At 39.1% G+C, this 12,844-nt stretch overlaps 1 protein-coding gene and 1 long non-coding RNA gene across 21 annotated transcripts in view; one reads left to right on the plus strand and one right to left on the minus strand.

The window, feature by feature from the left end:
- The window catches only part of LOC124906100 (uncharacterized), a 71,929-nt gene extending 65,206 nt beyond the window's left edge, over window positions 1–6,723 (plus strand). Inside the window, exon 2 of the long non-coding RNA XR_007087318.1 lies at window positions 6,232–6,723. This is a non-coding gene — a long non-coding RNA (uncharacterized LOC124906100). The remainder of the gene's footprint in view (window positions 1–6,231) is intronic.
- The window catches only part of TTN (titin), a 281,435-nt gene that overhangs the window by 181,534 nt on the left and 87,057 nt on the right, over window positions 1–12,844 (minus strand). For 15 of the 20 annotated variants that reach the window (NM_133378.4, XM_017004821.1, NM_001256850.1 and 12 more), the window contains 20 exons: window positions 12,461–12,742; window positions 12,032–12,310; window positions 11,642–11,929; window positions 11,173–11,451; window positions 10,800–11,078; window positions 10,421–10,699; window positions 10,001–10,288; window positions 9,573–9,860; window positions 7,971–8,252; window positions 7,464–7,742; window positions 6,770–7,051; window positions 6,375–6,653; window positions 5,563–5,850; window positions 5,175–5,453; window positions 4,793–5,071; window positions 4,422–4,700; window positions 3,540–3,827; window positions 3,113–3,400; window positions 2,044–2,334; window positions 4–291 (listed from right to left, as the gene is read on the minus strand). The exons of the other annotated variants lie outside the window; for them this stretch is intronic. In NM_133378.4, coding sequence (NP_596869.4) covers window positions 4–291; window positions 2,044–2,334; window positions 3,113–3,400; window positions 3,540–3,827; window positions 4,422–4,700; window positions 4,793–5,071; window positions 5,175–5,453; window positions 5,563–5,850; window positions 6,375–6,653; window positions 6,770–7,051; window positions 7,464–7,742; window positions 7,971–8,252; window positions 9,573–9,860; window positions 10,001–10,288; window positions 10,421–10,699; window positions 10,800–11,078; window positions 11,173–11,451; window positions 11,642–11,929; window positions 12,032–12,310; window positions 12,461–12,742 — 5,664 coding nt within the window. The remainder of the gene's footprint in view (window positions 1–3; window positions 292–2,043; window positions 2,335–3,112; window positions 3,401–3,539; window positions 3,828–4,421; window positions 4,701–4,792; window positions 5,072–5,174; window positions 5,454–5,562; window positions 5,851–6,374; window positions 6,654–6,769; window positions 7,052–7,463; window positions 7,743–7,970; window positions 8,253–9,572; window positions 9,861–10,000; window positions 10,289–10,420; window positions 10,700–10,799; window positions 11,079–11,172; window positions 11,452–11,641; window positions 11,930–12,031; window positions 12,311–12,460; window positions 12,743–12,844) is intronic. 20 annotated transcript variants of the gene reach the window in all.

Here is a 12,844-nt window from a genome sequence, read left to right on the forward strand (position 1 = left end):
TACCTTTAATGGTCACTTTTGATTTGGTAGTGTCACTTCCAGCCACATTTGAAGCTTTACACACATAATCTCCCGAATCTGCTTTAGCCACATCTCTGAGTTCCAGTACAGCTGTCCCACTAGCAAAGCTGAAGCTGCATCTGTCTGAAGGCTTTATTTCCCTGCCAGCCTTCAACCACTGGATCCTAATTGGCTCAGATCCCTGGACATGGCAGCTGAGCTGCACGTATTCTCCTTCACTCACTGTTACTGGAGTAAGGTGCTGATCAAATACAGGTGGCTTCTTAGGTTCTGGAATTGAAAAGGTATTTTCATGAGGAACATAAAGGCAAAAAAGTATTAAATTCCACAAGAGAAACAAATAAAGAGAAAAACTGGCCTCTAACAGGTAACACTGTTGCTGTAGTAGGACAGAATTATGTGCCTGGTTTATTCCTCTCTAAAGACAATAGTTTAAATTTGTTGGATTTTTTAAAAAGATAAAGGTTTAAAAACAAGCAAAGAACACATCACATGCTGCCCACAAATTGCCCCAGCCTCTGTGTCCTTACTAAGCACTGCAGACATTGGCAGTTACTATGAACTTCTTTGCCATATAGCACACTATTAATTCTCTCAAACCTGTGTACAGCGGTGTTTTTGCTGAACCCTGAAAATGAAGGGCTTATTTGGGAATTCTGCTTATCTCCAGCGGCAATGATTGCTACCCTCTAGGAAAGAAAGCTAGCATTTGAGTAATACATGAGCCCACATATTTATATGTGATTTTCTCTGATGTTCATCTTTAGCTATTAAATGCAGCCACAGTAGCATTTAAAATCCAATCTTAGCCCAAGGGAATTAGGAGTTGAGGCTCAGTGTTTAACTGAAGACCAATGATGAAGACATTGATGAGTAACATGATAGGAAGGCAATGTACAACTCAGTATTATGTAATGATTTTGTTCAATGGTTCTGAGACCTGTACCTAGAAAGAATAAGGCCATTTTTTTTGTTATTGCAAAGATTAAAACTTCTGATGTCTATCCTTTAAAAACATTTTATAAATAGCTTCAGAATTCTATAGAAAGCATTTATCTGCCCATGGTAAAACCATCATGAGTGTAAATCATGAAGATAAGCCACTGCTAAGTATATATTTTTCATTTTATAAAATGTGTTTTAAAACTAAATGCATCTAAATTCCACAAAATGAGTGGTGAAACTGGAATTTTAAGACAACTCAGTGATATTTACTTATTAGTGATATCAGCCTATTAATAATAACTTACTACCTGTGCACTGTGAGATAACTAACCAGATCATAAGAGTTGGTAATTAATTCCAGGCTGCTCTAGGAGGTTAGTTTTTAATGTGATTTTGATGAAGCTATGTTGTAATTACTGGAAGCCATTACAGTGAAGAGAAACAGATAAAGATATCCTTAAACAACATGGTCTATTTCATTTTCTCAAGCGATGATTGTGTATTTAAATATGTCTTCCATAATGATATGCAATGTTTTCTACCCATTATTTTTCTTTTTGGGCAAATGTTACCCTTTTGTCTGGGATTAATATTTGTTTGCAGGTCAAACGCTTTGGGCAATATACATTAAACAATAATCCTTTAGAAATACACTTGGAAAGGAGAAAGTTTCAGACTGTGATATAATATATAACTCAATAATAGTCAAGTTAATGTGATATTTGGTGATGAACATTAAAAAAATTTCAAAACAAATGTGCTTCATAAAAATATATGTCACATATGCACACATTTCAGAGTACGCTGAAACTTCTAACTACCTAAAGGAATTTTAGGATATGATTTAGAAACCTAAGATATTAGTCCGTTAAATGACACCTCCTTCGGGAAGCCACATAATTAAATTACAATAATTTATATTTTTAGTAAACATATGGAGTGATAAATACACAGTTAAATAATGTGTATTTATATTTGTTATAACTTACTTGGTCAAGATATCATAAGAAATGCTCATGGATATATAACAGGCAGTGAAGAAAAACACAACAGGTTGGGGCTGTGAGGATAACTCACCTTTGATGACGATTGAAGACGTGCACAGAGCAGAGCCTGCATCATTGGACACTTTGCATGTGTACAAACCAGCGTCGTTCATGCCTGCTTTCCTGACTTGCAGCACTAACGTGTTGTTCTTGAATGTTATTTCACAGTTAGAAGTTGGTTGTATCTCTATATTATTTTTGTACCAGGCAACAGTTATAGGTTGGGAACCAGCCACACGTCCCTCAAGTTTGAAAGAATTCCCTTCTGTTTCTTCTACTGTCTCTGAGAGTCTTTTAGTGAAACTTGGTGGGATGAGCCGCTCTATAAGAAATTGCAAGGATATATGAAGTAGAAGCTAGAAGCAGATTACTAATATGAAGCTTTTCAAGAAAAAAAACCCTCATATTTTTAGTTAAAAATCAAGGCTAACCAACTAAATACACTATATCAGAATATGTTCCTAAACATTTCAGCCTCCTTCTACGAGCTTATTCTAAACTGTTCTTTGACTTACAAGGTGGATGATAAGAAGTAACTCATGGCCATTTAGAGAATCACAAATTTGTAAAAAGAAGGGGTAGTCTCAGTATCATAGGGAATATATAAAGTTTTAGAAATATAGATTATAAGCTGGGTGTGGTGGCTCATGCCTGTAATCCCAGCACTTTGGGAGGCCAAGGCGGGTGGATCACTTGAGGTCAGGAGCTCCAGACCAACCTGGCCAACATGGTGAAACCCCGTTTCTACCAAAAAATACAAAAATTAGTTGGTCATGGTGGCAGGCGCCTGTAATCCCAGCTACTCAGGAGGCTGAGGCACAAGAATCACTTGAACCCAGGAGGCAGAGGTTGCAGTGAACTGAGATCACGCCACTGTACTCCAGCCTGTGCGACAGAATGAGATCCTGTCTCGAGGAAAGAAAGAAATACAGATTTAAAAAATGACTTCTTCTCTAGATAAACTTATTTCCTCTTAAACATTTTCTTTTCATTTGTTTAAAAATGTCCTAAATTGCATTCATCATCATAAAAACGACACCTTCAGGCTATACTACAAAATGATTACACTTTTGTTGGACCACTTGCAAAATAAACGATACCTTTTATATTCAGCTGAGCTGTGCAAGAGTCTTTTCCCACTTCATTCACAGCATAGCAGGTATATTGTCCAGAATCTCCTTTGTCTACTTTGAGGACTGTCAGGTGGGCGCTGTTTTCCAGATAACTAATCTGGTACTTTCCGCCACTTCGTATTTCTCTGCTGTCTTTGGCCCAGCTGACCTTTATCGGTTGTGTGCCCGTGACGTGGCACTCAAAGTCAGCACTTTCTCCCACCACAGCATCCACAGGGGCAAGACGGATGTCAAAGAAGGGTGGGTTCTTCCCCTCTAATAGTAGAGCAGAAAGACAAGGTTTCAGGCTCAATATCTGGACCATGTCAGTTTACTGAAATAGAAATTTCTCCCTAAGTTCATATTTGATTATAATACTTTAATTCTAGAAATGAAAGTTTAAGAATCCACAAACCTGTGAGAATGAGCCTGGCACTGGAAGAAGCAGAGCCTATAGGGTTTGTAGCTGTGCAGGAATACTGGCCTGCAAGGCTCCGGTCAGTTTTAAAAATATTGAGTGTGGCTGTATTGTCTAAAAATGATGTTTGTACATTTGGGCTGTCTTTCAATGGCTTGCCGTCTTTATACCAAGACACGGAGATAGGTTCTGATCCACTTATGGCACAATCAAAAACAACTGGCAGTCCAACTGTTTCTTGAACATCTCTCAATTGTCGAGAAAATGATGGTGGAAGTTTTTGCTCTGTAGGAACAGAATAAAAGTAACAAATACTTTAATTTACTAAATGCTCTTCTCACAATTATATATATACAAACGCACGTATATATGCAATTTCTATTAAAAATCAGGAATTATTAATGTCTCTTGAATTAACTTGGAGATAAAGAAAAGCATATAGATTTCTGGAGCAAAAGTATCACTCTGAGACCAACCCTAATGCACAGTAGGTGCAAAACAGTATGAAAACCAATAAAGCAATTGGTTGGCTGAAGGCATGTCTCTGGGCAAGCAGCAGATTCCTGTAATTTTAAAGACTGCCTTCTAGCAATTTGCATGAGATACTTACGGGGTGGAATTTAAAAATATATGGTCACTTTTTAAAAAAGATTTAATTATAGAAGCAAATGATTGCATAATCCTTCCAATTAAAGATTTAGTCATATTATCTCTCTGTAGAATCCATAGAAAAAGATAAGCCACTAACTGTAAATAGGATTACTTAAGCAGAATTTTAAGCCTTTGGAAAGATTTTCCTAAAAAATAGGCCTCCCCAGACATTTTAAATCTTGTTCAAAAGAAACACAAATTCGTTCACTTTAAAAATATTGCAATCACCTTGAACGGTAAGGAAAGTTGATGCAGAAACTTCTCCCACGCTGTTTTCAGCTTTGCAGATATATTCTCCACTATCATTAATATCAACCTGGTTGAAAACCAGTGTAGCAACATTATTCCTAAAATGCATTTTGTAAGTCGTAGTGGGTCTCAATTTTGTATCTCCTTTATACCAGGATACCCCAATTTCAGGGGTTCCAGCAAGCTGGCATTGTAGAGAGGCAGAATCTCCAACAGACACCTTAACCGGCTCCAACTGCTTGACAAAATACGGTGGTTCTGCAGCCAAGAGAGATAATCAATCAGTCATGAAGGAGACATGCCAGATCATCGATTGTATACAAAGATAAAAATGTGCAATCATGACAAACCTAGTATGAGTATTTGTGCTGAACAGGAATCTTTTCCAGAGGCATTTTCAATGTAGCAGTTGTATTGTCCTGCATCCTCTACTGTGCTACTTGGAATTTCCAGGATTGCCGATTTTTCAGTCGTAGTTATATTACACCTCTGAGAAGGAGTTACATTTATGCCATTTTTCTTCCAGGTAACCGAAATGGGAGGAGTTCCAGTGAATGTACCCTCTAGGATCAGGGGTTTTCCTTTCTCTATGCTGTAATCATTCAGCCTCTTCACAAATTTGGCTGGGGCTAAAGTGACCAAATTGAAAATATAAAATCAAACACATATACATACAGACAAAGACACATCTAATTACTAATCGTATAAATCTAGAAGAGCAGTCTGACAAACCTTTTATGTAGAGATGTGTTGTACAAGAAGCCTTGCCAGCTTCATTGCTAACTATGCAAGTATATTCTCCACTTTGTGATGTATCTACATCGAACAACTCCAGTTCAGCAACTGAATCCTCCAAAGACACGTTGCATCTGTCACCTGGTACTAGTTCACTGCTACCTTTGAACCAGCTAACACTGAAAGGAGGTGTTCCTTTTACGATACTTGTGAAAGTTACATTGGTCCCAGTTAAAACATCCATGGGATCAGGTTTCTGAACAAAAGATGGTGGTTCTAAACACAAAAGCACATATCAGAAAAGGTTTAGTATTTGTGAATTGTTATGACAAACATGCTTAATAAACTATGAAATGCAATTCATTTTACTGTTTTGTAAACTGACCTCTCACAGTCAAAGGAGCACTACATTCATCAGAACCAGCCATATTAGTAGCTATACATGTGTAGTCACCACTGTCTGATTCTTCCAGCATGTTCACAGTTAAAGCACAAGTATTATCTGTCAGGGTGGTCTGGTATTTCCTTCCACTACTGATCTCATTTCCTTCATGGAACCAGGAGACAGAGATTGGAGGTGACCCATAGACTTTACACTCCATTACAACTGAGGAGCCGGATAGACCATTTGTCTCTTTCAATTTTCTTGTGAATGAAGGAGGAACGGTTCGGTCTGAATGATACAAAACAAAACAAAACAAAACAAAACAAAAAAAACAAAGGACAACAATTATAAAATGACTTGAAGAGAGAACTGTCTTTTTGATGGACTATCCCTAGATCCATTTGGCTCTTTTGTGACGGTATTAAAAACTCCTCTATGGGTTCACACTATCAAAAGCTTGGAGAATCAGTGGGCAGAATGTGATGGTTGACTTGCTAGGGATTTTGTTCTCTCTTTGCCGTGAAGAATTATGTGGTGAATTATTTCAGCATAAATGAAGACTGCTTTAACCTTATCCAGGGACTATTTTTCATTCCTATCATCATTTTGGAAATTCCTCAAAAAGAAAGGGATATAACTTTTGAACATGGTTTTCTTCTAATTCTACAGATGGTATTGCCTCTGAATTTGCTGATTCAGAAGATGTCGGACTCATGTTATCCTATAGAAGATGTAACAACCCATATACATTTATGAAAATCAGGAACTACATTATTATAATGATGAAGGAAAAGCCCAAGAAATCAACCAACCTGAAACCTGCAATGAAGCTGTGCAGCTGTCTTTGCCAACAGGGTTCTGCACCTCAAAACTGTATACCCCACTGTCACTCGGTGCTACATTGATGATCTTAAGGCCGGATACTTTGTTGAAGAAGCTTATTTTGTATTTGTTGTCACTTGTTAGCTCTTTTCCATCCTTAAACCACTTAGTACTGAGTTCAGGGGTGCCAGCTACTGTACACTCCAAGGTACAGGTGTCTCCCGTGGTAACTTTTATGGATTCTGGCTTTTCTACAATTGTTGCAGGCTCTGGAATGAAATGTAAAAGATATCCATATTTTAAACTCAAATTGAAAAACTAAAGAAAATACAGATCCTGGTGAGTGTGTGCCTTGTATCTGTGATAACATCATCTTTTTACTAACCGAGAACGGATAGCGTGGCGAAGCACTCTTGCATCCCAGCATCGTTTTTGATCTGACAAGTGTATTTTCCAGCATTGGCTGGTTCCACTCTTGAAAACTGTAAGGTTGCAATGTTTTCTGAATAAGAAATCCATATGTTGTCACTTTCTCTAACGATTTCTCCCTTATCTTTGAACCACACCACTGAAATGGGTTCAGCGCCTTCAATGGTAGTCTGCAGCTGAACTTCTTTACCAACGACAGTAGATATGTCACTGAGCTTCTTCACAAATCTTGGTGGTGCTGATGAAAAAGGAGGAAAGCCTGGGTTTTAAAATTTGTGAGACTGACAGCATTTTGCTCAAATCGTGAATGCCGGGAATCAAACTAGTGATAATGTGTTATTTCCATTTAAGAGGCATTTTTGGTGGATGCGAGCAGGGACACATTAAAGTTTGTATTCAGTAGGAAAGTTGAATATCTCATCTACTCCAGCTTTCTTAATCCAATCAAAACCTAATTACAACATTATCTAAAAGGATATTCAGTAGGATTTGGAAAAGGGAAGCAGACTAAACAGAAAAGGACTTGGAGAGGAAACAAAGGGAAAGTGGAATAGGCTGCTAGTGATAAGACTGGGCTGGGGTGGAGGGGGCAACAGAGTATTACAATTAGAAGGGAAGTAGTGAGCAGAAGTGAATGCAGTCCATCTAACCTTTGAGAGCGATGGAACCAACGCAAGTGTCGCTTCCCACATCATTTGTGGCTTTACACTGATATTCCCCAATGTCTGCAGCATCGACATTCAGGATGTGGATACTGGTTAGGAAGTTCTCAGACATTATCTTGTACTTCTTGCCGCTCCTAAGTTCTCTCTTGTCTTTATACCAAGAAACGTGAAATGGGGGAGTGCCCTGAAGCTCACATTCAAGGTGAACATCAGCTCCTTTCAGTGTCTCTATAGGATGAGGCTTTTTGCGGAAAATGGGTGGTTCTAAAATTGGAAAAAAGGAAAATACGGATGTATTCTGTAAGTATATAGTTAAAAGTAAGAATCAATCTTCCACTCCATCAGAGAGATAGAGAGTGAAAAAAACACTTTCAATTCTTTGTTGTGTCCTTTCCCTATTTTAAAACATCGTTGAAGAGTCAAACAGGAAGTTAAGAGGACAATTAAAGAGGAGGCTAATGTGAAAAACACACAGGTGGGGAGAGCGCTGACCTTTAACTTTTAAGGATGTGCTGCTGCTGGCACTGCCTGCTGCATTGTGGGCCTCACAGGTGTAGTCTCCACTGTCTTCAACACTGAGATTGTGCATTTCCAGCACAGCCACCGAGTCAACGAATGACATTCTGAATTTACTGCTCTCTTGAATTTCAGTCTCGTCCTTATACCATAAAACTTTGATTTCTGGAGACCCACCGATTTTGCATTCATACCTTGTGAATTCATCCTGTTTCACAATTCTTGAAGGTTCTAGCTTCTTAATGAACCTGGGTGGTTCTATGGAACCAAGAGGAAAAACACAGGGTAAGGGATGGAACAGATGCATATAATTCAAGATGAGGTGGAAAAAATAATCTTTGCTAGAGAGGTCTTTAGCTCTGGAAAACAAATTTATGCAGTTCAAGGAAGAAGAGTTAAATGAAACCTAAATAGAAAATTTCTAAAATAAAATATGCTTGTTTTTGTAAGCATCCACATCAAGTATTATTACTAAAAGAAGGAGAAAAAGACATTACTCTTTATTGTGCCATCCTCTCCCCAGCAAAAGAGTCCCTTCTCTAGTGCCAAGATCAGAGATAATAGCATGTATCTGTCAGTGGAAGCCCTCTGAGGTCCACGGGGAATGAGAATTTGATTACTGTCTTGTATATGAACCAGTGGAGAACTATTTCCTAAGGCTGCAATGCTATCAGTTACATAGCATGAAGAGCCGGAATGGCAAAGTGGGTCAGATATCTTAATATTTTTAAAATGCCATTTTCCTCTTTTAGGTGTTAAATGGGTATTTCCTCAACCTTCATAATTTTCCTTTGAAGTGTGTGAGAGTAATGATTTCCTCATTAACTGAAGCAAAAAATTCAGGCATAGGGAAGTAAAAGTGATTAGCTATATGTCATAGAGCAAATGGGCTGCTAAATCTAATTATATTTTAATTTCAAGATATTTATAAACCACCACTACAAAAACCCTTAAAAATACTCTAATGGACTAGACTAGCAGTCCATTGAGTGAACTATTTAATTTCTGACAGTAGCAGCGATAAACATGTGGCAGAAACACATGACTGCCTTCCATAATAGCAGATACTGATCTACTTACTCCCCAGCCCCTGACCTCCACTATTATTTAAGTGGGGCTAGTGGAGGAAAGTAAGTTGAACTTATCATTCTCATCTGAATTCTCCTTGAAGGGCTTGATAGTTTGGCTCTTTGCTATGCCTTAGAGGGACAAAATCCATTCATTTACTAAGTACTGTGGGAAAAAAGTCATTTGCAATAACTTCGCTTTTGTCCTATGATACCGTCTTTCAAACTAGGATTTTCTTGCAATTTTGTAGAGTTTCGGTTATCTCTCTCTAGTCTCTATTTTTAGTCTCTTAAAATGGACTTTTGGTCCATGTTTTCCTAGTTTTAAATTTTTTTTTTAAAGTAATTAAAAAATACTTGTCTCCATTTGGAAGGTCCTTGATCCACTTGATCCATTTTCATCACTAGACCCTGGTCCTAAACATAGCTCTCTCTCAAGCACACCCACCCTCCTATATTTTAAGATACTGAAAATGTAAAAGAGATCTTGCTCCTTCACTCTAACAAGTACCTTGTACACCCAGCTGAGCAGAACAAGAGTCTTTTCCAGCGATGTTGCTTGCATAGCAGGTGTACTGCCCGGCATCGCCTTTGCCTACTTTGAGAACTGTCAGAGTGGCAGTATTTTCTACCAAAGTCATCTTGTAGTTGCCTCCAGGGCGAATCTCTCGGTTATCTTTGGCCCAAGTGATTTTGATTGGTGCAGTCCCAGTTACATGACATTTAAAAGTACCACTTTCTCCAAGAGCAAGATCTACTGATACAGGCTTTAGATCAAAGAAAGGAGGCACTTCATGCTCTGAAAAGAATGAAGACCAACATGGTGATTTTTATTTCCATGCTCTCACATACAGAGCAGAAACTAAATGGCACCAGCCTTTTGGTGGCCTGGAGCAGTGAAGCTGCTTTACAATGAAGAGGGTACTGTGAGTTACTCACCTGAGAGAATGAGCTTGGCACTGGATGAAGCAGTCCCAAGAGGATTAGAAGCAGAGCAATTATACTGCCCTATGTGGCTCTGGTCAGTTTGTAAAATCTGAAGAGTTGCTACATTATGAACAAAAGATGTCTGCAAATTAGCATCATCTTTCAAAAGAACCCCATCCTTGTACCAAGACACTTGAAGAGGTTCTGAGCCATTGATGCGGCATTCAAATGCAACTGGGAAGCCTAGAGTCTCATGAACGTCTTTCAGTTTTCTTGCAAAGAAAGGTGGAAGTTTGCGCGCTGTAAAGAAGTTACAGATAATCCTTATTTACAGGTGAGAAGGCATCCACAACATATTTCAATTCATAAAAGTTTTAACGTTTTTAAGAAAATGAATCTGTTCACACACACTAGGTTAAACAACACCATCACCTTTGATAACAAGCACAGCTGAAGAAGCGACTGCCCCCACACTGTTGTCTGCCTTGCATGAATACTCTCCCACATCACTGTGATCCACTTTGTTGATTACTAAGGAAGCAACGTTATTTTTGAATTGCATTTTATATGCAGGAGCTGATCGTAGCTTTGTGTGTTCTTTATACCAAGAAATTCTAATTTCTGGAGTTCCATCCACTTTACACTGTAAAGTTGCAGGTTCTCCAATGACTGCTTCCACATGTTCCAGAGGTTCAATAAAGTACGGTGGTTCTATGGTACAAAGGATGGTAGTCAGCAAGTCAGTCATGCCATGTAAAAGAGGATGTTTGAAAAGAAAGAGAGCAATAAAAAGAGGTAGCTGTCAACACACCTAAGACAGACACCAGAGCTTCACAGATATCTTGACCAGCCTCATTTTCTATCAGGCAGCTGTACTGTGCATAATCCTCTATTGTGCTCTCAAGAATTTCCAGTATGGTAGATTTTTCTGTCATAGTAATACTGCATCTCTCAGATTGTGAAATAAGATACTCGTCCTTTATCCAGCTCACTGAGATTGGAGGTGTGCCAGTGTATGTGGCCTCGAGAACTATGGGGCTTCCTGTCTCAACACTGAAATCAGCCAATCTTTTCACAAAGGTGGCTGGTTCTATAAGGAGAAAACATGTGGGTAAAATTCTTGCCTTCTAATGAAGACTTAAGAGAAATTTTAAAAGATGTATATATTGGGGGAAAGAGCAAACCTTTCACAAAAAGATGTGTGGTACAGGAAGCACTGCCAGCATCATTTGTAACGAGGCAAGAATAGTCTCCACTTTCTAATGGCTGCACCTCAAACAACTCCAGTTCTGTGACAAAATCTTCCAGAGAGATGTTGCATGACTCCCCAGGCACCAGTTCCCTGCTGCCTTTAAACCACTTGACCTTGAAAGGAGGGGTGCCTCTGATGACACTGGTGAATGTGAGGCTCATTCCAGGCAAAACTTCCACAGAATCAGGGGTTTGTTCAAAAGATGGTGGTTCTAGATATTGCAAGGCGGAAGGGGAGATAAAGAGAAGAAAGAAATCCAAGTGAGAAGTGCTTTTGCTCCTTAAAAAAAGGGAGCTAAGACTAAACATGAAGACAAAATAAAGAAACTCCAGGGAAGGCAGGCACCACGTCCACATGAAAGAGGTGTTAGAGAAGCAGCAGCTTTATCCTTGCACACTGACCTTGCACAGTCAGGACTGCTGAGCACTCATCGGAACCAGCTACATTGGCAGCCACACACGTGTATATGCCTGTGTCGGAGGGCTCCAACAAGCTCAGATTCAAAGTACAGACGTTTTCCGAAAAGCTGGACTGACATTTGGGCCCACTAACAATCTCATTTCCATCCTGAAACCAGCCAACTGAAATCGGGGCTGAGCCAGAGACTCGGCACTCCAAAACAACTGAGGCCCCCAGGATGGCATTCACGTCTTTCAGCTTGCGGATGAAGGAAGGAGGCACAATCCGATCTATGTGGGGAAGGGTAGTTTTGCGTTTAAAGAGAAGTTTTATTCTGTGCCCCTCCACCCCCTGGAAATATTGTATATTCATAAAAATCTCATTCTACTCACCAGAAACATGGACGGATACAGTGCAGTTACTTTTGCCAACACTGTTTTTCACTTCAAAGCTATATAATCCTTTGTCACTCATTTCGGCACAGGGGATTTTAAGGGAAGCCACTTTATTGATGAATGTAATGTGATGTTTGCTGTCTGCAGACAATTCTCTTCCATCTTTGAACCACTTGGCTGAGAGTTCTGGTGTTCCAGTCACTACACACTCTAATGCAAAAGGATTTCCAGTAGTGACAGTCATGGGTTCGGGCTTCTCTATGATTCTTGCTGGTTCTAAAAGAAGAAGTATTTTGCATTGAAAACAAAGTAACCTTTCAAACTCAAGAGTGCAATCACTGAATTACTGGATAAGAGGAATATTTGAGGAAAATGATCATGGATCAAGTAAATTGATTTTTTCTCTGGCTGTGCTTTGCTACTAACCTAGTACAGTCAAGACTGCAGAGCATTCTCTCATTCCAGCATCGTTTTTGATTTGGCATATATATTTTCCAGAATTAGATGCTTCTGGACTCCCCAGCTGGAGGGTTGCAATGTTATCAATGAATGAAATCCTGGTATTTTCACTCTCTCTGATGACTTCACCTCTATCTTTCAGCCAGACAACAGAAATTGGCTGGAAGCCCTCCACTATGGCCCGTAACTCAACAGCATCCCCAATAAGGGTTGAGGTGTCACTTAGCTTTTTCACGAATCGTGGAGGTTCTGATGAAAGAAATTTGTGGTTAGAGGAAAAAATGTGAGAATCATGGCCACACAAGTTATTAGTTAGGCAAGAACAGATAGGAGGAAGGGGCATATATTTTT

This window comes from Homo sapiens, chromosome 2 (genome assembly GCF_000001405.40).
Source record: "Homo sapiens chromosome 2, GRCh38.p14 Primary Assembly".
In the NCBI taxonomy this organism is placed as follows: Eukaryota; Metazoa; Chordata; class Mammalia; order Primates; family Hominidae; genus Homo; species Homo sapiens.